This window comes from Homo sapiens, chromosome 11, assembly GCF_000001405.40.
Source record: "Homo sapiens chromosome 11, GRCh38.p14 Primary Assembly".
Lineage (NCBI taxonomy): Eukaryota > Metazoa > Chordata > Mammalia > Primates > Hominidae > Homo > Homo sapiens.
Window position 1 is genome coordinate 47,213,493 of NC_000011.10, and position 25,760 is coordinate 47,239,252.

The window sequence follows — 25,760 nt, forward strand, 5'->3', positions numbered from 1 at the left end:
AGAGTGAGACTCCGTCTCAAAAAAAAAAAAAAAAAAAAAGCAGTGAGGAGGCTGGGCACAGTGGCTCACACCTGTAATCTCAGCACTTTGGCAGACCGAGGTGGATGGATGCCAGGAGTTCTAGACCAGCCTAGGCAACTTAGGGAGACTCTGTCTCTACAAAAAATGCAAAAATTAGCTGAGTGTTGCGGCGCGCACCTGTAGTCCCAGCTACTCGGGAGGCTGAGGTGGGAGGATCGATGTCCAGGAAGTCCAGCCTGCATTGAGCCCACATCCTGCCACTGCACTCCAGCCTGGGTGACAGAGAGAGGCCCTGTCTCAAAAAAAAAAAAAAAAAAAAGAAAGAGAGAAAGAAAGAAAGAAAAAATAAAAACAGCCAACGACCAAACAAATAAAAGAGCAGTGAGAACCAGACACGGTGGCTCATGCCTGTAATCCCAGCACTTTGGGAGGCAGAGGCAGGAGGATCACTTGAGCCCAGGAGGTCCAGACCAACGTGGGAAACATAGCAAGACCTTGTCTCTACAAAAATAAAAATAAAAAAATTAGGCTTGGGGATACAGGTCTGCAAGCCTACTTGGGAGGCTGAGGTGGGAGGATCAGTGAAACTTGAGGTCAAGGCTGCAGTGAGCTGTGATTACATCACTGCACTCCAGCCTGGGTAACGGAAGAGAGACACTGCCTCTAGGAAAAAAAAAAAAAAAAAAAAAAAAAGGCAAGGAGTTCCAATCATTCTCCCTTCACAGAGAAGCAGCTTGGATTCGATGGGACTGTAGTTTCTGGAATCCGACTGCAAAGCTGACCGCTGGTAGAGCCCAGCTTCTAACTTAGGAAAGGCACTAGCTCTCTACAAAGCCGCCACTCCCCAACTACACCCTGTAGGGACCAGCCAATCCCAAAGCCCGAGCGGGCGTCATCACCAATTGCAAGGCGGGAGACAGAGCCTTGGCTGGCACCGGGCCTCCTCCCCGGACCCGCAGAGGCCTGGCAGCGCCGCGTTTGAGGAGGGTTCGTGTCAGGAAGTCAAGGCTGGATGATCGCTTAAGCCCAGGAGTTAAAGACCGGCCCGGACAACAAAGCGAGACCCCGTCTCTCCAGAAAAAGAAAAAAAGAGAGAGAGAGAGAGAAATTAGCCGGGCGTGGTGGCGTACGCTTGTAGTCCCATCTACTTAGGAGGCTGAGGTGGGAGGATCGCTTGAGCCCAGGAGGTGGAGGCTGCACTGAGCTATGATCGCCCCACTGCCCTCCAGAGTGAGCGACAGAGCCAGACCCTGTTGCTAAAAAAAAAAAAAAAATCCATAAAGCCGGGGACCATCTTTGCTCCAGGGAGGTCAGCTGACCCGGGCTGGCACTGGCCCTGGCGCAGTTCCCGCCCCTCCCGGGAGCGCTGGCACCGCCCCTTGGCACCACCCCCTCCCCGCGCCCCCGCCTTCCAGGAAGGGGCGGGGTCTCCGAGACGGGTGGGGCCGGAGCTCCAAGCTGGTTTGAACAAGCCCTGGGCATGTTTGGCGGGAAGTTGGCTTAGCTCGGCTACCTGTGGCCCCGCAGTTTTGTAGTCCCCGCCTTGTTTCTCCCCAGAGGCCTCTCAATCCTCCCTCCATGATCTTCGCATAGAGCACAGTACCCCTTCACACGGAGGACGCGATGGCTCCCAAGAAACGCCCAGAAACCCAGAAGACCTCCGAGATTGTATTACGCCCCAGGAACAAGAGGAGCAGGAGTCCCCTGGAGCTGGAGCCCGAGGCCAAGAAGCTCTGTGCGAAGGGCTCCGGTACTGCCTGTGCCTGCTGCTTGAATATTTCCGCCTTTTAGGGTGCTCGCGCAGGAGGCTGCAGCGGGGGATGGGTGCTCCGAGGCTCCCGAGGCCCGCGCAGGTCACGGGTGCCTCCGGCTGTGCATTCTACCTGCAGGTCCTTTGACACCAGAGTGTTTAGGTTTCAACACCTCTCCCGCTAGGTAACAGGAAGCAGATGAGCTCCGTAACAACAGACACACGGACTTGTCAGATTCCTTGTTCGTATCAGGGTTCTTGCACAGTTAGGACGGCTTCAGAGAATCCTACCTTTCCTGGCGCTGTGTGTGCTGGATTTCATAGTCACGCTTGTTAGCTGCACGTCCTCGGTGGTCAGTTGTGAGAGCCCCCAATTCCTTCCTCCTTAGAAAGCTCATTCTCTGAGGTTTACTGGGGCTTGAACCTGGGGCTATAAGGAGTTTCGAGACACTCAAAAACGAGCTGGGGCTTGTTAATCAAGTGGTTTTTGTCCATGAGAAGAAAGAATTGGTTGTCAAGACGTCGGACCTATAGTGATTGGGTCCTCAAATACAGTTTGGTGATCAGGAGTTGTTGCTTTATTGCTATTCTAATTTCACTTACCTCCCCAGAAGTAACCTAGTTAAGAGCATTTCCAGGCCTTCCTATTCCTTCTTTTCCTAAACGGTGACTTCTGCCATGCTGCCCTAAAATCTTTTTATTGTGCATTATATGTGATTTATAAAATTGTGACCCAGTCCCATCTCGAGTTTTGCAGCCCAAACTGGGAAGAGTTCTGCATTGTACTTTATCCTTGTGTGTTTCTTTGGCTGGGGTCTCAGGAACCCTGCACGACTGTATTTACTTTCACTTCAGACTTACTGTTTGTGGGAGTGTTTTGGGGAAGGGGCCAAATCCTCACTCATTTTTTTATTTCTGGTGCTCGTTGAGACCACACAGACATGGAAAGGCCGCAGGAGGTGATGAGACAGAGATTAACCGTGCCGAATGAAACAAGGCTTCCTTTCGGGGAATTCAGCAGAAAAACCTTTCGTGAGATTGGAGAGGAAAATATGTCTGTTCTGCTTGGCAGGTCCTAGCAGAAGATGTGACTCAGACTGCCTCTGGGTGGGGCTGGCTGGCCCACAGATCCTGCCACCATGCCGCAGCATCGTCAGGACCCTCCACCAGCATAAGCTGGGCAGAGCTTCCTGGCCATCTGTCCAGCAGGTAAGGCATTTTTTGCCTCAAGTCCTCAAGGGTTTACACGTGCATTTTTACTATTGCATGCTCCCAAATTAGATGATGGCTTGGTTCACCAGCTTGTCAGAGTGGTCCGATCACCCAGACTGTGGTGACTGGCCTACTGGGCACTCAGCCAGGTAAAAAATGTCTTATGTTGTAAAGGTCCCAGCTGGAATGCACTCTGCCCCTTTTGCTTTCCAAGATTATTCGTTCGTGTACATTGCAAATATTTTCATGCACAGGGCAGGCAGTTAGCTTTCCTTTGGTGGGAGGACTTGGATCTAGGGCTCATCCATGAAGGAGGCAGAGATTGGCAGTTTACCCAGAACTTGGGTTTTAATTCAACCTAATTCATTTCTCTCTGTGGCAGGGGCTCCAGCAGTCCTTTTTGCACACTCTGGATTCTTACCGGATATTACAAAAGGCTGCCCCCTTTGACAGGAGGGCTACATCCTTGGCGTGGCACCCAACTCACCCCAGCACCGTGGCTGTGGGTTCCAAAGGGGGAGATATCATGCTCTGGAATTTTGGCATCAAGGACAAACCCACCTTCATCAAAGGGGTGAGCAGTTCCCCATGCCAGGTCGTGCTAAAGAAGTGTTTGTTGGCTGGGTGCAGTGGTTCGCACCTGTAATCCCAGCACTTTGGGAGGCCAAGGTGGGTGGATCACCTGAGGTATGGAGTTTGAGACCAGCCTGGCCAACATGGTGAAACCCCGTCTCTACTAAAAATACAAAAATTAGCTGGGTGTGGTGGCAGGCGCCTATAATCCCAGCTACTCAGGAGGCTGAGGCAGGAGAATTGCTTGAACCCGGGAGGCAGAGGTTGCAGTGAGCCAAGATTGCACCATTACACTCCAGCCTGGGCAACAAGAGTGAAACTCCATCTCAAAATAATAATAATAATAATAATAAAAGAAAATAAAAATAAGGAGTGTTTGTTGAAGGCATGAAAGGAATATTGATGTCATCCAGTAATCATCAGGAAGAGGACTGGGATCAAAATTAACTGTGGGCATTTTCAAATACGTAAATGATGATGATATATATTTTTCTAATGCCTGTCCTTAAAATACTAGAAGATATAGACTATTGATCACCCATAGAATTGAAGCCCCTTCTGGGCTGGGCGCAGTGGCTCAGGCCTGTAATCCTAGCACTTTGGGAGGCCAAGGTGGGCTGACCACGAGGTCAAGAGATGGAGACCATCCTGGCCAACATGGTGAAACCCCGTCTCTACTAAAGATACAAAAAATTAGCTGGATGTGGTGGTGTGCGCCTGTAGTCCCAGCTACTTGGGACACTGAGGCAGGAGAATCGCTTGAACCCGGGAGGCGAAGGTTGCAGTGAGCCGAAATCACGCCACTGCACTCCAGCCTGGGCAACAGAGCGAGACTCCATCTCAAAAAAAAAGAATTGAAGCCCCTTCTTACCACATTGACCTCATCTTACGCCATTGTCTTTTCTCACTTCTATGCTGTAGCCACACCAGCTGTTTCTATTCCTGAAACCGGGTCTCTGTAATTGCTGTTCCCTTTGACTGGAGTGCTTTTCCCCCATGGTCTTCTCATGGCTGGCGTCTTCTCTGCAGGTCTTTGCTGATTCTACCTCTTCAAAGAGGCTTTCGCTGGTTGTCCTTACTCATAACGTAGATCCCACTCCTCCACCGTCATTCCCTGTATCATTACCCTGCTTCATGTTTCCCCCAAGTGTTGATGGGTGTCTGAGATCTGATGCTTATTTGTATGTTTGCCCACTGATGGCAGGGACCTTTCCTTTCTGGTTCACCATCCTATTCCCAGTGCCTGGAACAAAGTTTGGCCTAGAGTAGCTGCTTTATATTTGTTGAATGAGTGAGGGGCTTGAAGTGTAATTGAGCAGATGGGATGTATACATACGAGGTAATTAACAATACAGATGCCAAGTGCTACAGAATGTGAAAGAAGGAAGAACCCCTTGTGAATTGGAGTCAATAAAGAAGACTCCATGGATGAGCGAGGAGGAGCAGTATTAGATAAATGGAGAGAAAAGAAGGAAAGACATAGTGTGACTGGGTGAGGTTTGGCACAGAGTTCTTGGGAATGGTCTTTGTTGTGCTAGAGTTTATCATCCATTGCTGAGGGGTGAGTGTGTCGTCCCCTCTAGGACCTTTAGCCAGCCCAGCTGGTGGCTGACATTGGAGGGCTGTGCTGTGAAAAGTGACACTGGGTTTAGAGCAGGAGTCACAAACTTATAGGGCTCCAGAAGCCAGAGTGGAAAAAAAAAAAAAAAGAATGTATGGTGGTAGGGTCAGGGGTAAACTAGAGATGACTGTTGTGCAAAAATGTAGGTCTTTTGATATCAGATGTGATTTTTCTCAAACAAAGACACAAATCCTCATTTTTTAAATGTCATATATCTTGAGTTTTAAAAAAAATTGTAAAATACACGTAACATAAAATGTATCACCTTAACCATTTAAAAGTGTTTTTTTTTTGAGGCGGACTCTCGCTCTGTCACCCAGGCTGGAGTGCAGTGGCGCAATCTTGGCTCACTGCAAGCTCCGCCTCCCGGATTCATGCCATTCTCCTGCCTCAGCCTCCCCAGCAGCTGGGACTGCAGGTGCATGCTGCCACGCCTGGCTAATTTTTGTATTTTTAGTAGAGATGGGGTTTCACCGTGTTAGCCACGATGGTCTCTATCTCCTGACCTTGTGATCTGCCTGCCTCGGCCTCCCAAAGTGCTGGGATTACAGGCGTGAGCCACCGCCCCCAGCCAACTTTTTAAAAAATAATGATAAAATACATATAACATGAAATTTACTTTCGTAACCATTTTAAAGTGCACAGTTCAATGGCGTTGGGTAAATTGTGTAAGCAGTCTCCAGAACTTCATTATTTTTTTTTATTTTTATTTTTTGAGTCTCATTCTGTCACCCAGGCTGGAGTGCAGTGACACAACCATAGCTCACTGCAGCCTCCACCTTCCTGACTCAAGGAATCCTCCGGCTTCAGCCTCCCATGTATCAGGGACTACAGGTACGCACCACCATGCCTGGCTAATTTTTAGAGATGTGGTCTCTCTATATTGCCCAGGCTGGTCTCAAACTACTGGCCTCAAGCAATCCTTCTGTCTTGTCTTCCCAAATTGCTCGGGATTACAGGGCTGAGCCACTGTGCTGGGCCTCTAGAACGTCTTAATATTGGCACTGAATGAAACTAAACACACGTCTCAGCCGAATTCTGCTTCAGTCCACTATTTTTCTAGCTCTGGTTTAAAGGTAGACATGAGGGGGAACCCAGGAGGAGGTCTCTTTATTTATTTATTTGTTTATTTTTTTGAGATGGAGTCTCACTCCGCCGCCCAGGCTGGAGTGCAGTGGCGCAATCTCGGCTCACTGCAAGCTCCGCCTCCCAGGTTCACGCGATTCTCCTGCCTCAGCCTCCGAAGTAGCTGGGACTACTGGTGCCCGCCACCACACCCGGCTACTTTTTTTATATTTTTTAGTGGAGATGGGGTTTCACCGTGTTAGCCATGATGGTCTCGATCTCCTGACCTCGTGATCCGCCCGCCTCGACCTCCCAAAGTGCTGGGATTACAGGCGTGAGCCACTGCACCCAGCCAGCAGGAGGTCTCTTAAGTGGAGGGATTTGGAGAGCAGACCACCAGAAAAGGCCAGGTTAGACAGGTGTGGGAGACTGGAATTCAAAGTGTGAGATGGGTGTTCAAGGAACAAGTGCCAGAAGCCCCCAGAAAGGCAGTCAGAGGAGTGCCGCGGACAGAGTGGGGTAGGTTTCCTGCCCAGCTAAAGAGGCAGGTGACCGCTAATAAGGCAGCTTGAAGTTGAAGTCAGAACCCAGAGCTCAGACAGGAAGAAATTTGTTTTCTTGTTTTCTCCAGGAGTCTAGGACATGGGAATAGAGGAATTTAGCTTATGCCTGGAGATGGGAAGAAGCAGTGTAGGGTATTCTAGGGGAAGAGCTTCCTGACTAACAGGATAATGACAAGTGCTTTGAACTTGTGCCAGACTGAGATTGCTTTTTTTCTTTGTTGCATCACCTTATGACATGCGTGTAACCTTCTTTACAGTGTAAACTTTCTTTACACTGTAATGAAGATTGGTCTAGGCATTGAATTTTGTGGCTTGCATTTGCAGGGAGCTAGGTTGGAGCAGAGGAAGGGTATGGCAGTCTGGAAGAGACCTGTCTGGTTTTACTCCCAGATGCTGACAGCAGAATGCTGATTTGAGACCAGTTACTGGAGGAGCAACAGTGCCTCATTTTGTCACTTCTTTAGTCATCTGACCTTGGCTGTGACCTTTACATTCTTCAGGCCCTTGGCAAGGGAACATGTATTACAGTTTCACAATGAAGATAGCTTAATTTTATTCCTATTATAAAAACAATGTATGGGGCCAGGCGCAGTGGCCCACGCCTGTAATCCCAGCACTTTGGGAGGCCGAGGCGGGTGGATCACCTGAGGTCAGGAGTTCCGAGACCAGCCTGACCAACACATAGTGAAACCCTGTCTCTACTAAAAATACAAAAATTAGCCGGGAGTAGTGGTGCACGTCTGTAGTTCCAGCTACTCAGGAATCTGAGGCAGGAGAATCACTTGAACCTGGGAGGTGGAGGTTGCAGTGAGCTGAGATGGTGCCACTGCACTCCAGCCTGGGCGACACAGTGAGACTCCATCTCTCAAAAAACAAAACAGTGTATTCTTATCATAAAATACAGAGAAAAGTGTAAAAAATAAATTAAATATGATCCAAAATCCCCATTTTCAGCATCCCTCTGTGCATGTGTACACTATTTTTTTTTTTTTCCAAGTCTGAGTCTTGCTCTGTCGCTCAGGCTGGAGTGCAGTGGTGCGATCTCACCTCACTGCAACCTCCGCCTCCTGGGTTCAAGCTATTCTCCTTCCTCAGCCTCCCGAGTAGCTGGGATTACAGGCATGCACCACCACACCAGCTAATTTTTGTTTTGTTTTGTTTTTTTAAGACAGAGTTTCACTCTATTGCCCAGGCTGGAGTGCAGTAGCACGATCTCGGCCCACTGCAACCTCTGCCTCCTGAGTTGAAATGATTCTCCTGCCTCAGCCTCCTGAGTAGCTGGGATTACAGGAGCCTACCACCATGCCCAGCTAATTTTTGTATTTTTAGTAGAGACGGGGTTTCACCGTGTTGGCCAGGCTCGTCTTGAACTCCTGGCCTAAGGTGATCCACCTGCCTTGGCCTCCCAAAGTGCTGGCATTACAGGTGTGAGCCACCGTGCCCAGCCTGAATTTTATATTTTTGGTAGAAACAGGGTTTCACCATATTGGCCAGGCTGGTCTCGAACTCCTGACCTCAAGTGATCCGCCCGCCTCGGCCTCCCAAAATGCTGGGATTACAGGCACGAGCCACTGCACCCGGCCTGGGTTTTTAAAATTATATCTTTATTGAGGTATAGTGGACATAAACTGCAGCTATTTCAAGTGTACAATTTGGCTATTCTCAGCCTATGGGGTAGTCCTACTCCAGAGAAGCAGTAAGAAAAAAAGAATAAATTGTACAATTCCATGAGTTTTGACATATGTGTACAACTGTGAAGCCATCACCACAATTAAAATAACTCCCATTTCCCCACCCTTTGTTGAATATTTGGAGAGTGATAGATAGATGAGTTATCTATGCCCCTTTGTAATCCACCCCTCTCTACCCAATATCTTATTCACTGTAAACTGCTGATCTATTTTTTATTTTTAGAAATTAATTTACATTTTCTAGAACTATATATAAATAGAATCATAGAATATATGGTCTTTTATTTTTGTTCTAGCTTGTTTCAGTATAATTATTTGAAATTTATCTACATTTTTATGTGTAGTTTTTTTTTTCTTTCTGAATAATGGTTCATTGTTTTTTGTTTTAAGACAGGGTCTTGCTGTGTCACCCAGGGATGATCATGGTTCAGCATAGCCTCAACCTCCTCAGCTCAAGCGATTCTCCCACCTCAGCCTCCTGAGTAGCTGGCACTACATGCACAGGCCACCATACCTGGCTAATTTTAAAATTTTGTTATAGAGACAGAGGTCTCACTGTGTTGCACAGGCTGGTTTCAAACTCCTGGCCTCAAGCTATCCTCCTGCCTTAGCCTCCCAAAGTGCCGGGATTATAGGCGTGAGCCCCTGCACCCAGCCACATTGTACTGATATGATACAGTTTATTCATTTACCTGTTCAAGGACATTTGAATTTTTTTCTAGTTTTTGAATGCAACATATAAAGCGACTGTGAACATTCACGTACAAGTATTTGTGTGGATATATGTTTTCATTTTTCTTGGGTAAATACTTAGCAGTGGAATGGCTGGATTATAGAGTAGGAATGTTTTAAAGATACTTTTTAAATGAGAAAAGGTTTTTCTATTTGCCCACATATTGTCATTTCCAGTGCTTTCATTCTTTCATGTGATCCAGATTTCCTTTTGGTAATATTTTCTTTCTGCCTGAAGAAATTCCTTTCATATTTCTTATAATGCAGATTGGTGATAAATACTTTCCACTGTTGTTTATCTAGAAAAGTATTTTGCCTTTATTTTGAGGGAGGATGTTTTTGCTAAGTATAGAATTCTAGGTTCACAGTTTTTAAAATTATTTAACTTTTATTTTTTAATTGGTAAATTAAAATTGTATTTTATTGCATACAATATATTTGTTCACAGTTTTCTCCTGTCAGTACTTTAAAGATGATGTCTAGGCTGGGCGCTGTGGCTTACGCCTGTAATCCCAGCATTTTGGGGGGCCAAGGCAAGTGGATCATTTGCGATCATGAGTTTTAGACCAGCCTGGCTAACATGGTGAAACCCCGCCTCTACTAAAAATACAAAAATTAGCTGGGTGTGGTGGCGCTCACCAGTAATCCCAGCTACCCGGGAGGCTGAGGCATGAGAATCTTGAACCTGGGAGGCAGAGGTTGCAGTGAGCCGAGATGGTGTCACTGCACTCCATTCTGGGTGACAGAGCAAGACTGTGTCTCAAAAATAAATAAATAAGGCTGGGCGCGGTGGCTGACACCTGTAATCCCAGCGCTTTGGGAGGCCGAGGCAGGCGGATCACGAGATCAAGAGATTGAGACCACCCTGGCTAACACGGTGAAACCCTGTCTGTTCTAAAAATACAAAAAAAATTAGCCAGGCGTGGTGGTGGGCGCCTGTAGTCCCAGCTACTTGGGAGGCTGAGGCAGGAGAATGGTGTGAACCCAGGAGGCAGAGCTGGCAGTGAGCCGAGATCGGCCACTTCACTCCAGCCTGGGTGACAGAGCAAGACTCCGTCTAAAATAAATAAATAAATAAAGAATAAAAATAAAGATGATTTCTAGTTGGGCTCAATGGTTCATGCCTGTAATCTCAACACTTTGAGAGGCTGAGGCTGGGGGACCTCTTGAGGCCAGGACTTTAAGACCAGCCTAGGAAACACAGCAAGACCCCATCTCTACAAAAAAATCTTAAAAATTAGCTAGTGGCTTGAACTTGTAGTTCCAGCTGTTCAGGAGGCTGAGGTGGGAGAATTGCTTAAGCCCAGGGGGACAAGGCTTCAGTGAGCTAGGCAAGCCTGGGTGACAGAGCAAGATCCTGTCTCAATTAAAAACAAAACAAAACAAAACATCCTGATGAGAAGTCTGCTACTATCCTTATGTTCCTGTCTATGTAATTTTTCTTCTGGTCGCTTTAAAAATGATTATGATGTGCTTGTGGGGGGATCACTAAGCTTCTTTGATTTATGGATTTTTTTTTTCTTTTGAGACAAAGTCTCACTCTGTCGCCCAGGCTGGTGTGCAGTGCCACAATCTCGGCTCACTGCAACCTCCACCTCCAGGGTTCAAGCGATTCTCCCTGCCTCAGCCTCCCGAGTAGCTGGGATTACAGGTGCCCACCACCTCACCTGGCTAATTTTTGTATTTATTTATTTTTATTTTATTTTTTTAGTAGAGACAGGGTTTCACCATGTTGGCCAGGCTGGTCTTGAACTCCTGACCTCCAGTGATCCGCCCACCTTGGCCTCCTGAAGTGCTGGGATTACAGGCGTGAGCCACCTTGCCCAGCCCATTATTTCTTACAAAGAGTTCAAAATGAAGAAAAAGAACAGTTCTTTTTTTCTTGGGACTGCGATTACATATGGTCCTGCAGGTGGTTGATGCACTGTTCATTTTTGTCTTTTTCCCTGTTTCATTTTGTGCAGTTGTTCACTGATCTTTACTTCTGTAATATCTAACCTTCTGCTGTCAATCCCTCCCTCCCTCCCTCCCTTCGTTCCTTTCTCTCTCTTCTCTTCCTCTTCCTTTTCTCTTCTCTTTCTTGCCTGTGCAGAGCAGGGCTGCTCCATAGGCAAAGTAGCCCAGCGTATTTTTCATTTCAGATACTGTATATCCCCTCTAGAAGTTTAATTTGGATTTTTTTTCATGTCTTCCATTTCTCTCCTCATATTTATTATTTCCTCTTCTTTCTTTTTTGAGATGAGGTCTCACTCTCTCTTCCAGGCTGGAGTGCACTGGCATGAGATCTCAGCTCACTGCAACCTCCACCTCCCAGGTTCAAGCGACCCTTCTGCCTCAGCCTCCTGAGTAGCTGGGATTACAAGTGTGCACCACCACGCCCAGCTAATTTTTGTATTTTTAGTAGAGACCAAGTTTCACCATATTGGCCAGGCTGGTCTCAGACTCCTAACCTCAAGTTATCCACCCACCTTGGCCTCCCAAAGTGCTGGGATTACAGGCTTGAGACACTGCTCCTGGCCCGATCCTGTGTCTTTAAAAAAAAAAAAAAAAACTCTAACAAGTAATACTGCTTTTTTTAAAAAAAATTGTGGGCCAGGCTCAGTGGCTCACGCCTGTAATCCCAGCACTTTGGGAAGCTGAGGTGGACGGATCACAAGGTCAGGAGATCGAGACCATCCTGGCCAACATGGTGAAACCCCGTCTCTACTAAAAACACAAAAAATTAGCTGGGCATGGTCGTGGGCGCCTGTAATCCCAGCTACTGGGGAGGCTGAGGCAGGAGAATCACTTGAACCCGGGAGGCAGAAGTTGCAGTGACCCGAGATTATGCCACTGCACTCCAGCCTGGGCAACAGAGCGAGACTCCATCTCTATTTTAAAAAAAAAAAACAAAAAACTGGTAGAAAACACGTAAAACAATTTACAATCTTTACTATTTTTAAGTGTACAGTTTAGTAATGTTAACTATATTCACATTGTTGTGCAACAGATCACTAGAACTTTTTTCTTGTAAAACTGAAACTCTATACCCACTGAACAAGCCTCCACTTCTCCCTCCCCTTAGCCCCTGGCAACCACAGTACTACTTTCTGTTTCTGTGAGTTTGACTACTTTAGATATCTCATCTAAGTGGAATCATACAGTATTTGTCTTTTTGTGACAGGCTTATTTCACTTAATGCAGTGTTTTAAGATTCATCCATGTTGTAGCATGTGGCAGAATTTCCTTTTTTAAGGCTGAATAATGTTCCATTGTTTGCGTGTACCACCTTTTGTTTATCTGTTTATTAATTGACAGACACTTGGGTTGATTTCATCTTTTGGCTATTGTGAATAATGCTGCAGTGAATGTGGATGTGCAAATATCCCTTTGAGACCCCGATTTCAGTTCTTTGGGGCTTATGCCAATAAGTACGATTGCTTCATCAAATGGTAATTTTGTTGTTCATTTTTTGAGGAACCGCTATATTGTTTTCCATACTGGCTATACCATCTCATGTTCCCATCAGCAGTGTACAAATGTCCCAACTTCTCTACTTCCCCACCAACATTTATTTTCTTTTTTTTTTTTTTTGAGATGAAGTCTCCCTCTGTCGCCCAGGCTGGAATGCAGTGGCACAGCCTCAGCTTACTGCAACCTCTGCCTCCTGAGTTCAACTGATTCTCCTGGCTCAGCCTCCAGTAGCTGAGATTATAGGCGCACACCACCATGCCCGGCTAATTTTTGTATTTTCAGTAGAGACGGGTTTTGCCACGTTGGCCAGGCTGGTCTTGAACTCCCGACCTCAGGTGATTCATTTGCCTTGGCCTCCCAAATTGCTGGGATTACAAGTGTGAGCCACCATGCTCGGCCTTTTCTGTTTTTTTGATAGTGGCCATCCTAAGGGATGTGAGGTGATAGCAGTGTAGTTTCATTTGCATTTCTCTAATGATTAGTGATATTGAGCATCTTTACGTGTGCTTCTTGGCCATTTGTATATTTTCTTTGAAGGAATGTCTATTCAAGTCCTTTGCCTTTTTTTTTTTTTTTTTTTTTTTTTGAAACAGGGTCTTACTTGGTCACCCAGGCTGCAGTACAGTGGCACAATCATAGCTCACTGCAGCCTCGAACTTCTGGGCTCCAGTGATCCTGCTGCCTTAGCCACCCGAGTAACTGGGACTGCAGGTGCTCACCATCATACCTTGCTAACTTTGTTTTGTTTTGTTTTTTTCGCTGTCTCTTACAGAAAGGACTTACTAAGTTAAAAAAAAATTTTTTTTTATAGAGATTGGATCTTGCTATGTCTCCCAGGCTGGTCTTGAACTCCTGTTTGCCTGTTTTTTAGTTGGGTTATTTGTTGTTGTTTTGTAGGGGTTCTTTATATATTCTGGATATTAACCTTTTTTTTTTTTTTTTTTTTTTTTGAGATGGAGTTTTGCTCCTGTTGTACAGGCTGGAGTGTAATGGCTCAATCTCGGCTCACTGCAGTCTCCACCTCCCGGGTTCAAGCAATTCTCCTGCTTCAGCCTCCTGAGTAGCTGGGATTACAGGCATGCGCCACCATGCCCGGCTAATTTTTGTGCTTTTAGTAGAGACAGGGTTTCACCATGTTGGCCAGGCTGGTCTTGAACTCCTGACCTCAGGTGATCTACCCGCCTCGGCCTCCCAAAGTGCTGGGATTATAGGTGTGAGACACTGCGCCCGGCCATGATATTAACCTCTTATCAGATCTATGATTTGAAAATATCTTCTCCCACTTCATAGATTGCCTTTTCACTTTGTCGATTGTTTCTTTTGATGCCTGAATTTTTTTTTTTTTTTTAATTTTGAGATGGAGTTTCACTCTTGTCACCCAGGCTGGAGTGCAATGGCGCAATCTTGGCTCACTGCAACCTCCACCTCCCGGGTTCAAGCAATTCTCCTGCCTCAGCCTCCCAAGAAGCTGGCACCCACCACCACGCCCAGCTGGCCCGATTGATTTTTAATAGTTAAACCAACTTTGCATTCTTGGAATAAGTTCATCCTGGCCATAACATATTTATCGTTTTTAAATATTACTGGATTGAGCTGGCAAATATTTTAAGATCTTTGCATTTGTGTTCATGTGTAAAATTGGCCAAATCCTTGTCACATTTGTGTATCAAGATTATGCTGATTTCTGGCCAGGCGTGGTGGATCACGCCTGTAATTCCAGCACTTTGGGAGGCCGAGGGGGTCGGATTATGAGGTCAGGAGATGGAGACCATCCTGGCCAACATGGTGAAACCCCGTCTCTACTAAATATGCAAAAATTAGCTGGGCGTGGTGGCGCACTCCTGTCATCCCAGCTACCCGGGAGGTTGAGGCAAGAGAATCGTTTGAACTTGGGAAGTGGAGGTTGCAGTGAGGTGAGATCGTACCACTGCACTCCAGCCTGGCAACAGAGTGAGGCTCTGTCTCAAAAAAAAAAAAAAAAAAAAAAGATTATGCTGATTTCTGTGAATTGCTTGAGCCCAGGAGGCAGAGGTTGTAGTAAGCTGAGTGCACCACTGCAGTCCAGCCTGAGCGACAGAGCACAACTCTGTCTCAAAAAAAAAAAAAATTATGCTGCCCTCTTTAGCTTGGGAATTATTCCCTCTTTTTCTAGTCTGTGGAGACGGAGGGTTTAAGATCAATATCTGGCTGGGTGCGGTGGCTCACTCCTGTAATCTCAGCACTTTGGGTGGCCAAGGTGGGCAGATCACCTGAGGTCAGGAGTTCAAGACCAGCCTGGCCAACATGGCAAAACCCTGTCTCTACTAAAAATACACAAAAATTCGCCAAGCATGGTAGCAGGTACCTGTAATCCCAGCTACTCGGGAGGCTGAGGCAGGAGAATTGCTTGAACCCAGGAGGCAGAGGTTGCAGTGAGCCAAGATTGTGCCACTGCACTCCAGCCTGGGCAACAGCATGGGACTCTGTCTCAAAAAAAAAAAAAAAAAAGGAAGGAAAGATCAATATCTCTTCCTCAGCCAGGTCCGGTGGCTCATGACTGTTGGGAGGCCGAGGCAGGCGGATCACTTGAAGTCAGGAGTTCGAGACCAGCCTGGCCAACATGATGAAACTCCATCTCTCCTAAAAATACATAACTTAGCTAAGCGTGGTGGCGTGAGCCTGTAATCCCAGGTACTTGGGAAGCTGAGGCTGGAGAATTGTTTAAACCCAGGAGGCGGAGGTTGCAGTGACCTGAGATGGCACCATTGCACTCCAGCCTGGGCTACAGAGTGAGACTCCATCTCAAAAAAAAAAAAAAAAAGAAATATCTATCTATCTATCTATCTATCTATCTATCTATCTATCTATCTTCCTCTTTCTTCATCTTCTTTTTCCCTTCCTGAACAGTTCAAACCAAAAGTCATTAGGTAGGATCAAGCAAGATAGATGTTTACGTAGTGGGAAGGCTACAGTGCTGGAAGTGCCAGATGCTGGGGCCCCTGAAGCTGAGGTGAATGTCATTACAGGTGGCAGGTGGCAGCTCAGTACATAGAGACTGGGCCCAAACAAGATCAGAAGGGCATCCATGTAGGCAGGGGTGAAGAGTAGAGGAGGCCGGGCATGGAATAGTGAAGTCTGAAGCGGGGTTGAGGATGCTGAACCACAGGGAGGCCTAGAGTGGGGTGGCGGAGTCAAGTGGGGTGAGCAGGGCTTTTGCATGGAGAGGGGCGGCCGTGGCGCCTGATGTGGGCAAGGAAGTTGTGTCTGCATGGTTGAGGGAGTGGAGAGAGGGAAGAGGGTGATTGTGCCCTCGGGAGGGTAAAAGAGTCCAAGCATCCTAAGGAAGACGTGCATTTGGGGAGTGTGTGGCAGCAATAGTGGAAGACTGGTTACATACAAGGAGATTAATCAAATATGTAAGTATATTGAGTAAAATGGGAACCACATTTTTCACTGTCAAAGAAGGGAATTATAAACATGGAAAGAGAGAAACTCGAATCAACTCTGTGGTGTTGACTTTGAATTGAAGACATTGATACAAATTTAAGGTTTTCAGTATACAAAGTAAGACAGTTGTGAAGCAATCTGATTGCAGATTCCTTTTACATTTTTATTACCTTAATCTTTTATAAGTATCTCACCCTATGCTTAATTTGATGGCTCTTCTTTTTTTTTTTTTTTTTCTTCTTCCTAATAGAGACAGGGTCTTGCTCTGCCACCCAGGCTGGAATGCAGTGGCAGGATCATAGCTAACTACAGCCTTGAACTCCTGGGCTCAAGTCACCATCCCACCTCAGCCTCTCGAATAGCTATGAGCACAGGTGTGCACCATCACTCCCAGCTAATTTTTAATAATTTTTTATAGAGGCTGGACCCAGTGGGTCATGCCTGTAACAGCACTTTGGGACGTTGAGGTGGAAGGATTGCTTGAGCCCAGGAATTTGAGACTGGCCTGAGTTACATAGTGAGACCCTGTCTCTAAAAAAAAAAAAAAAAAAAAATTGGTGACACACACCTATAGCCTATAGCACCAGCTACTTGGGAGGCTGAGGCGGGAGGATTGCTTGAGCCCAGGAGGTTGGGGCTACGCTGAGCCAGGATTGCACCACTGCATCAAGGTTTTGAACTCCTGGCCTTAAGCGATTCTCCTGCCCCAGCCCCTCAAAATACTGGGATTATAGATGTGAGCTACTGTGCCCAGCCAATAGCTATTATTTTTGCAACTCATTATCAAGTTCTTCCAAAGCTTTCAACACGGCTTTTATAGTAGTAATAATGGCCTTTGTTTTTGCATGTATTTCATCAATTTACATGCTTAATTAAATTTGGTGTTAATTGCAATAAAAGATACAATTGGAATAAACAGGTTTGAGAACAACTACAACCAACCCTTGGTTTGGTAAGCATAGAACTCAACTGGAGGGAGCCGAAGATTGTCATACTACCAGCAAGCATTTGGCAGACCATGAGCATTAGAATGACCGTGAGGTTAGAATGTTTTATAGAGGGAAGGGAATGTGCCAGTTAGTATGTTGTGATAGCTAAGTGGTTGTTGCATAGAAGAACTTGTACAGGTCTGTGAGGCTGGGATAGCTGCAGCGTAAAGAAGAAGTGGAAAAGGTGGAGAAAGGCGGACAAGTGGAGAACTTTACATCTTGGGGATGTAAAGTTCTTAAAACAGTGCCTGACTGGGCGCAGTGGCTCACGCCTGTAATCCCAGCACTTTGGGAAGCCGAGGCAGGCCAATCACCTGAGGTCAGGAGTTCGAGACCAGCCTGACCAACATGGTGAAACCTGTCTTTACTAAAAATACAAAAATTAGCTGGGTGTGATGGTGTGGGCATGTAATCCCAGCTACTCAGGAGGCTGAGGCAGGAGGATCACTGGAATCCAGGAGGTGGAGGCTGCAGTGAGCTGAGGTTGTGCCACCGCACTTCAGCCTGGGCGACAGAGCAAGCCTTCATCTCAAAAAAAAAAAAAAAAAAAAAAAAACACACAAAGAAAATCCCCCCAAAAAACCAGCGCCTAGTACATAGTAAGCACTTAATAAGGTTAAGCCATTGATATTCTCATGATTATTTTCATCATCATTTTCATGAATGTTTGGAAGAATAGGAAGGGGCACAGATCTGACTCCTGCCCTCCTAACTCAGCCACTGCTCTGAGCTGAAGCTCTTCTAAAGAGAGCACTGTGGGAATAACAAATTAGGGCACATCCATGTAATGGAATACCTCAGCAATAAAATGAGATGAGCTCTTGATACAGCAAACTCAGATGAATCTCAGAGGCATGATGAGTGAAATGAAACAAGACAGTCTCAAAAGGTTGCATACTGCCTAATTCATTTACATGACATTCTATTTTTAATTTTATTTTATTTTATTTTTAGAGACAGGGTCTTGCTCTGTCACCCACGCTAGAGTGCAGTGATTCGATCGCAACTCACTGCAGCCTCGACCTCCAGGCTTCCGTCATCTTCCCACCTCAGCCTTCTGAGTAGCTAGAACCACATGCACCTACCACCATGTCTAAATTTTTTTTGTGTGTGTAGAGATGGGGTCTCCCTATATTGCTTAGGCTGGTCTTGAACTCCTGGCCTCAAGCAATCCCCCCGCCTCAGTCTCCCCAGGTGTTGGGATTACTGTGCTCGGTCTATAGGACATTCTATGAGGGCAAAACAATAGTGATGGAGAACAGATCAGCCAGGGGCTGGGGGCGAGGGGAGGGTGTGATTACAATGGGATACCACGATGGAGTTTTTGGGCTGTTGCAAATGTTCTGCATCCTGATTTGGGTGGTGGTTATTTAAGTCTATACATATGTTAAAATTCAGAGAACTTTATATCCCAAATTTGCTATATGTTAATTAAAAAAAAAAGTAAAAATAAAGCCTTAAGAAATGAAGGGAGGCGGGGCACGGTGGCTCACGCCTGTAATCCCAGCACTTTGGGAGGCCAAGGGTGGCGGATTACCTGAGGGCAGGAGTTCCAGACCAGCCTGGCCAACATGGTGAAACCCTGTCTCTACTAAAAATATACAATTTAGCCATGCGTGGTGGTGGGCACCTGTAATCCCAGCTGCTTGGGAGGCTGAGGCAGGAGAATCGCTTGAACCTGGAAGGCAGAGGTTGCAGTGAGCCGAGGTCGTGACAGAGCAGGACTCCATCTCAAAAACATAAAAATAAAAATAAAAATAAAAAAAAGAAAGAAATGAAGGGGCCAGACAAAGCGGCTCATGCCTGTAATCTTAGCACTTTGGGAAGCCGTGGCAGGGGGATCGCTTGAGCTTAGGAGTTCAAGACCAGCTTGGGCAACGTGACAAAACCCCATCTTAAAAAAAAAAAATAGAAAAATTAGCTGGGCATGGTGGCACGCACTTGGGAGGCTGAGGTGGGAGGATCGCTTGAGCCCAGGAGATTGAGGCTGCAGTGAGCCGTGTTTGTGCCACTGCACTTCAGCCTAAGTGACAGAGAAAGACCCTATTTCAAAGGAAAAGAAAAAGAAGTGAAGGCCCTGTAGAGAGCGTCCTAGTGTCTAAGCTGACCTGGCCCCAAGCGCTGCTCGAGGGGTGCTTCTGTGACGGCGCAGCATGTGTGCCCAGGCCTGGTTCCTCACGGCCAGGCCCATCATCACTCACTGGCTTTTTCCTTCCTCGTGTTAGATTGGAGCTGGAGGGAGCATCACTGGGCTGAAGTTTAACCCTCTCAATACCAACCAGTTTTACGCCTCCTCAATGGAGGGAACAACTAGGCTGCAAGACTTTAAAGGCAACATTCTACGAGTTTTTGCCAGCTCAGACACCATCAAGTGAGTAGTTTAACTAGCAGGGGAAAGGGCTTCTAAGCTTAGGTGTAGTTCCGGCAAGAGCATCCAGATCCCATTTCCTTAACCCAACCTGGCCCAGGGAAGAAAGGAAAGATGTCAGCCACTTTCCGCCCTTCTTTCTCTTTCTCAAACTGCTCCTTGGCTGCCCTCACTTTGGTCCAGGTGGGTTACTGCTTTGGGAAGGTGTTCTGGAGCCTCAGCTCTTCTGTAAGTCATACCTGTATTAGACTGGACCTTGACCCTCACTAGATAAGCCAGCATGGCGTGGACCCAGAAAGCCACCTAGAGAATGGAGCAACAGCTCAGAACTTGAGACTGAATGCCCTGCACTCACTGTGGTGTAATGACCTGACCTGTTCCTGGGTGGAAGCTTATATGGATGGAATCTTTTCCATAAAGTGCTCTGGACTTCCCAAGAGAAAGTGGCTGGAGAAATTACAGAATGCGGCCGGGTGCAGTGGCTCATGCTTGAAATCCCAGCACTTTGGGAGGCCAAGGTGGGTGGATCACCTGAGGTCAGGAGTTCGAGACCAGCCTGGCCAACATGGTGAAACCCCCATCTCTACTAACAATACAAAAAATTAGCTGGGCGTGGTGGTAGGCCCCTGTAATTCCCAGCTACTTGGGAGGCTGAAGCAAGAGAATCGCTTGAACCCAGGAGGCAGAGGTTGCAGTGAGCCGAGATGGCGCCATTGCACTCCATCCTGGGCAACAAGAGCGAAAATCTATCTCAAAAAAAAAAAAAAAAAATTACAGAATACTCGTCACTTTGATTTCCAGCTAGAGCCGTGACTCTGACTGCTCCCTGAGGAATTAAGTGAGGGTGCTGGGGTGTAACTAGCATTGGATTGGATCCTGGGCTGTCCCGCAGGGATGAGGAGTGCATGCGCACGCAAATCAGCAGGCAATTGGATAGACAAGGCTCCAGGCTACTCTTCCGCAAGAAATCTTCCTGCTTGAAGATATTCATAGGGGATGGCAAAAGGCAGTGTAGCATGGATTTGAGAGTTTGAGAGAAAAACTGTGAGCTGAGCTCTTCTGGCTGAATAGCAGGATCCCTGAAGCACCCTCCTAGTCAGCCTCCCAGTCCAGTGGTTTGAGGGACCAGAAGAGCTCCTGGTTGTGTTTTTTCCCCCAGTGTTCAGAAGGGGGCAGAAGTGCTTTTCTAGCCAGCTCTGAGGAACAGGGCCAGGCAATCCCTCTTTGGCTTGTGTCTCCTTTGGCCTAAAGGGTGAAGAGTGAAAGGAGAGAGCAGTAAAGGAGGCTTGCTCAGAACCCGGGGTGTGGGGGGCAGGCGTGCCTCAGGGCTTGCTTTATGGTATAAGCTTTGTCTGCTTCAGGGACTTTTAGGAGCTGGGGATCCTGGGCCCAGCCATAACCAGACAGATTTCTGAGCCCCATTATCCCATCCCCTCTGTCTGGACGGTAGAGCAGTCTGAATGTTCCTCACTAGGAATCCACGGCAAGACAGTTATTCATTCATTCAACAAATATTTATTGAATGCCCGCTGTGGGTTAGTCACCGGAGCGGCAACAGTGAGTAAATAGGACTATCTCTGTCCCCAAGAATCTTACAACACAGTCTCTCCCTCCAGCATCTGGTTTTGTAGCCTGGATGTGTCTGCTAGTAGCCGAATGGTGGTCACAGGAGACAACGTGGGGAACGTGATCCTGCTGAACATGGACGGCAAAGAGGTGCGTTCTCCGAGGTCCTGCCTTTCCCTCCCTCACCCCCACCTCGGTTCTGTGTCCCCACCTGAACCGAGCTCTTCTCTGCAGCTTTGGAATCTCAGAATGCACAAAAAGAAAGTGACGCATGTGGCCCTGAACCCATGCTGTGATTGGTTCCTGGCCACAGCCTCCGTAGATCAAACAGTGAAAATTTGGGACCTGCGCCAGGTTAGAGGGAAAGCCAGCTTCCTCTACTCGCTGCCGCACAGGCATCCTGTCAACGCAGGTGTGATATCCCAGACCTCATCTCTCCTGCAGACCCTGCCTGTCTGACCACTGCTGGGGTTTTCCCTCAGTGTGGAAGCCACTACGTCAAACCTTTACCCCTGATAGCGTCTGCCAAGCTGATGTCTGGGAACCTTTGTGGCTGTGGCTGTCCCCATCAGCTGCTGAGTTTCCAGAATTTTTTTGTTGTTGTTCACAGCCCAGATTCACCTCTTCCTTTCCGCTCCTGTCTAGAGAGGAGTGGGAGGGAGAGTACCCCTGCAGGAGAAGGCCTGCAAGGCCAGGACCACAGAGGGCTTGTGGTTCCTTCAGCTCAGGGGCTTTTCACTTTGCCAGCTTGTTTCAGTCCCGATGGAGCCCGGCTCCTGACCACGGACCAGAAGAGCGAGATCCGAGTTTACTCTGCTTCCCAGTGGGACTGCCCCCTGGGCCTGATCCCGCACCCTCACCGTCACTTCCAGCACCTCACACCCATCAAGGTGAGTGGCGGTGGGAAGGAGCTCGCAGAAGGAGGCTGTGATCATGAGGCCGGAGCAGGTCTGCCCACAGTGGGGAAGGGCTGATGTGGTAAGCCTGCCACCCCAGATCGCTCCTGGCCCGAGCACAGAGCATCTCTTACCCATTGGCTCTCTCTCTTCCTTTTATCCCACTTCTGCCATCCCATATGGTTGAGTTTTCTGTCTCGCTGATAAGATATTTTTCTGAGTTTTTTCAGCCCAGCTCTGATCTCACTGTGAGAATTTTCTAAGATCCTGACCCTCTGTTCTGTCTTCTCAGCTTCAGTTACCTGTGTACAGTTGACCCACAAACCTTCATTTTTTATTTTTTTATTATTTTTTTTAAGGCAGGGTCTCGCTCTGTCACCCAGGTGGGAGTACAGTGGGGCAAGCATGGTTCATTACAGCCTTGATCTCCCAGGCTCAAGCGATCCTCCTGCCTCACTTTTTTTTTTTTTGTAGAGACAGGGTATTCTTGTGTTACCCAGGCTGATCCTTTTTTTTTTTTTTTTTTTTTTTCTTGAAACGGTCTTGCTCTGTCACCCAGGCTGGAGTGCAGTGGCACAAACATAGCTCACTGCAGCCTCAACCTCCTGGGTTCAAGCAATCCTTCCGCCTTAGCCTCGGAAGTAGATTGGACTACAGGTATGCGCCACCATACCCAGCTAATTTTTTTATTTTTTATAGAGATGGGGTTTTGCCATGTTGCCCAAGCTGGTCTTGAACTCCTAGGTTGAAGCCATCCCCCAACCTTGGCCTCCCAAAGTGCTAGGATTACAGGCATGAGCCACTGCGCCTGGCAACTTTGCCTTCTTAGTTTGTCTTGCAGGTTTCAGTGCTTCTAATAATAAAAATAAGTCTTTTATTTTCCCACCTTTTCTCAGGCTCTTGTTAATAGCTTCTCTATCATTAGTCCCCAACACTAATAGCTTTCAAGTCCTTTGATGCCTTTTTGCCTAAGCCCCCATGCAGACTGAGCTCTGCTAGTTCTGCATTCTTTTCCAAAACTACAGATCCTCTTCAGATCTTCAGGTTTTATGCCTATACTTCTCTGGTCAGTTCAGAATAGTGGTGGGGAGCGCCAGTTTCCAGCAGCCAGACCCCCCGGGTTAGAATCCTTGGGCAAATTACTTATATTTTGGATCTGTTTCCTCATCTGCAAAAAGGGAATACTAGTCTCTAACTGATAGGGTTGTTGTGAAGATGAGTCAGTATACTTAAAGCACTTGGCCCCATGCCCAGCACCTGGTAAGTACTGGTAAGTATTCAATAAATGATGATTGAATATTGAGTGGCCCCCACGTACCTCAATCACATCCAAGCTCTTAATAAATAATGTCAAGAATCCTTCCCCAGTTGGTGTTCCTGTTAATCCATCAGTGTTCCCGATAATCCATCTGTCTGCATGTCCCAGTTTGTATCTAGCCAGGTGTCGTAAGTCATTACAGCTTCCTGTGTGTGATTTGTGACTTATTTCTAAGCCTTCGCATGTACTATTTCTTCCTTCCTGCTAACCATGTCTTTCTTCCTTCAAAACTTCCTTGAGAAGTTTAGGAAAATCCCATCCAATTCTGCCATTTTAATAACTGCCAGATTTGTTTTTAGTGGGGTGATCTGGGGAATGTGGGTTTCCTTCTCTTTTTTAGCCATTAGCAATTTTACACTCAGCTCTTAGTTATTCGTGTTGATGGAGACAGGATGACAGTGGGGCTCCTCCAGAACTCAAGTCCTGTTAGGGTTTGGTCACCAGAGGCTTTTTCTGCTTTGTTGTAGGCCTCTTAGGTCAGTATCTGGGTCAGGCTGATGTTAAAACGTTTACCAGTTGGTATGATCTTAGGAAATGCAAATGAGGGAGAAGGCCTGAAGGTGCCCTAAGGGCCAGGGAGGCCAGCTAGGGATTAAAAATGTGCAATGGCAGAGGCACACACAACCTAAAACCATTCTTGTAGTTTTCTGTAAGACTTATCTCCATTATTAGGTTGGCTTGTTACTGGCAAATACTACTTTTTTTTTTTTTTTTTTGAGAGTCTTGCTCTGTCACCTAGGCTGGAGTGCAGTGACATGATCTTCACTCACTGCAACCTCCGCCTCCCGGGTTCAAGTGATTCCCCTGCCTCAGCCTCCCAAGTAGCTGGGACTACAGGCATGTACCACCACGCCCAGCTAATTTTTTTTTTGGTATTTTTAGTAGGGACGGGGTTTCACCATGTTAGCCAGGATGGTCTCGATCTCCTGACCTCGTGATCCGCCTGCCTCAGCCTCCCAAAGTGTTGAGATTACAGGTGTGAGCCACTGCACTCAGCCCAAAGAATACTTTTGATGTTCCTCTTTGTTCATATTTGTTTTTGATGTCCCCCTTGATCATGTTCTGTGTTTACCCTCATGGCCGGCCTCTCCATCTCCTAGGCAGCCTGGCATCCTCGCTACAACCTCATTGTTGTGGGCCGATACCCAGATCCTAATTTCAAAAGTTGTACCCCTTATGAATTGAGGACGATCGACGTGTTCGATGGAAACTCAGGGAAGATGATGTGTCAGCTCTATGACCCAGAATCTTCTGGCATCAGTTCGGTGAGGCTTGGGTCCTCAAATAATGATGGGAGGAAGCAGGGATTCAACCTACCTTATTGACCAAAAGTGACCAGAAATCAGGTGTCTCTGCTAATACCTTCACCCTCTCCTCATGTTGACACTCTTGTCTCTGCAGCTTAATGAATTCAATCCCATGGGGGACACGCTGGCCTCTGCAATGGGTGAGTAGGAGGAGAATGTCTCTGACTTGCCAAGTCCGATCCTACTTCCCAAGGTTCAGTGCGGGCCAGCCTCAGCCCCGCCCTGCCACATTCACCCCAGGGCAGTGGCCCACGAAGAAGATGGCTGGGAGACAGTGGTCTCTATAGCCAAGGCCCTCCATTCCTCTGGCTTTGTCTTGGTCATGCAATGCCTGGCTACTGTCCAGTTTCCTAGTATTTCTTTTTTTTTTTTGAGACGGAGTCTCGCTCTGTCCCCCCGGGCTGGAGTGCAGTGGCGTGATCTTGGCTCAATGCAAGCTCCGCCTCCTGGGTTCACGCCATTCTCCTGCCTCAACCTCTCGAGTAGCTAGGACTACAGGTGCCCGCTACCACGCCCAGCTAATTTTTTGTATTTTTAGTAGAGACAGGGTTTCACCGTGTTAGCCAGGATGGTCTCGGTCTCCTGACCTCGTGATCCGCCCACCTCAGCCTCCCAAAGTGCTGGGATTACAGACTTGAGCCACCGCGCCCGGCCTTCCTAGTATTTCTTTACCAAATTGTAGGTTTGCGGGCCAGCCCCAGGCTCTGAGAGATTGGTAACAGAAAGTGTAAGTCAGACTGGTCTCACTCTTCCTAGGTTACCACATTCTCATCTGGAGCCAGGAGGAAGCCAGGACACGGAAGTGAGAGACACTAAAGAAGGTGTGGGCCAGACAAGGCCTTGGAGCCCACACATGGGATCAAGTCCTGCAAGCAGAGGTGGCGATTTGTTAAAGGGCCAAAAGTATCCAAGGTTAGGGTTGGAGCAGGGGTGCTGGGACCTGGGGCACTGTGGGACTGGGACACTTTTATGTTAATGCTCTGGACTTGCCTCCAGAGACTGCTCCAGAGTTGGTGACACAGCTGTCCCAAGGGCCCCTCTGTATCTAGCCTGGAACCAAGGTTATCTTGGAACTAAATGACTTTTCTCCTCTCAGTGGGTGGTAGCAGAGGGATCAAGCAGTTATTTGATTTGTGCTCACTTTTGATATGGCCAATAAAACCATACCGACTGAGCTTCTGCGTGGATCTTCCAGAAGTGACCTGGTCA

The 25,760-nt window shown here is 47.3% G+C and overlaps 1 protein-coding gene across 9 annotated transcripts, besides 7 other annotated features; it reads left to right on the forward strand.

The window, feature by feature from the left end:
- Window positions 86–922: an enhancer, noted in NCBI's record as "H3K27ac-H3K4me1 hESC enhancer chr11:47235129-47235965 (GRCh37/hg19 assembly coordinates)". NCBI's record gives its function as "activates a minimal SCP1, AML or CMV promoter by ChIP-STARR-seq in naive H9 embryonic stem cells {active_cell/tissue: H9 hESC(naive)}" and the evidence as "EXISTENCE:reporter gene assay evidence [ECO:0000049][PMID:30033119]".
- Window positions 923–1,758: an enhancer, noted in NCBI's record as "NANOG-H3K27ac-H3K4me1 hESC enhancer chr11:47235966-47236801 (GRCh37/hg19 assembly coordinates)". NCBI's record gives its function as "activates a minimal SCP1, AML or CMV promoter by ChIP-STARR-seq in naive H9 embryonic stem cells {active_cell/tissue: H9 hESC(naive)}" and the evidence as "EXISTENCE:reporter gene assay evidence [ECO:0000049][PMID:30033119]".
- Window positions 923–2,245: a biological region, named in NCBI's record as "MED14-independent group 3 enhancer GRCh37_chr11:47236089-47237288".
- Window positions 962–25,725, forward strand: DDB2 (damage specific DNA binding protein 2). Of its 9 annotated transcripts, none has more exons than NR_174611.1 (11): window positions 962–1,182; window positions 1,579–1,771; window positions 2,844–2,980; window positions 3,366–3,557; window positions 19,322–19,467; window positions 21,081–21,180; window positions 21,265–21,384; window positions 21,778–21,920; window positions 24,345–24,509; window positions 24,646–24,691; window positions 25,308–25,725. NR_174611.1 is itself a non-coding variant. In NM_001399874.1 (11 exons), the coding sequence occupies exons 2-11, from the start codon at window positions 1,645–1,647 to the stop codon at window positions 25,355–25,357; spliced, it is 1,284 nt and encodes a 427-aa protein (NP_001386803.1). In that variant the 5' UTR covers window positions 962–1,182; window positions 1,579–1,644; the 3' UTR covers window positions 25,358–25,725. The 9 variants fall into 9 exon arrangements, 7 of the variants coding, with proteins under 7 accessions (NP_001386803.1, NP_001386804.1, NP_001386805.1 ...); NM_001399874.1 differs by having other exon boundaries at window positions 21,265–21,442; NM_001399875.1 differs by having other exon boundaries at window positions 1,581–1,771; window positions 21,265–21,442.
- Window positions 965–1,204: an enhancer, noted in NCBI's record as "active region_4691". NCBI's record gives its function as "activates an Ori minimal core promoter by ATAC-STARR-seq in GM12878 lymphoblastoid cells {active_cell/tissue: GM12878}" and the evidence as "EXISTENCE:reporter gene assay evidence [ECO:0000049][PMID:35858748]".
- Window positions 1,046–2,245: an enhancer, noted in NCBI's record as "MED14-independent group 3 enhancer chr11:47236089-47237288 (GRCh37/hg19 assembly coordinates)". NCBI's record gives its function as "activates an origin of replication core promoter dependent on BRD2, BRD4, P300/CBP and CDK7 cofactors, and independent of MED14, by STARR-seq in HCT116 cells {active_cell/tissue: HCT116}" and the evidence as "EXISTENCE:reporter gene assay evidence [ECO:0000049][PMID:35650434]".
- Window positions 1,275–1,484: a silencer, noted in NCBI's record as "silent region_3324". NCBI's record gives its function as "represses an Ori minimal core promoter by ATAC-STARR-seq in GM12878 lymphoblastoid cells {active_cell/tissue: GM12878}" and the evidence as "EXISTENCE:reporter gene assay evidence [ECO:0000049][PMID:35858748]".
- Window positions 1,535–1,814: an enhancer, noted in NCBI's record as "active region_4692". NCBI's record gives its function as "activates an Ori minimal core promoter by ATAC-STARR-seq in GM12878 lymphoblastoid cells {active_cell/tissue: GM12878}" and the evidence as "EXISTENCE:reporter gene assay evidence [ECO:0000049][PMID:35858748]".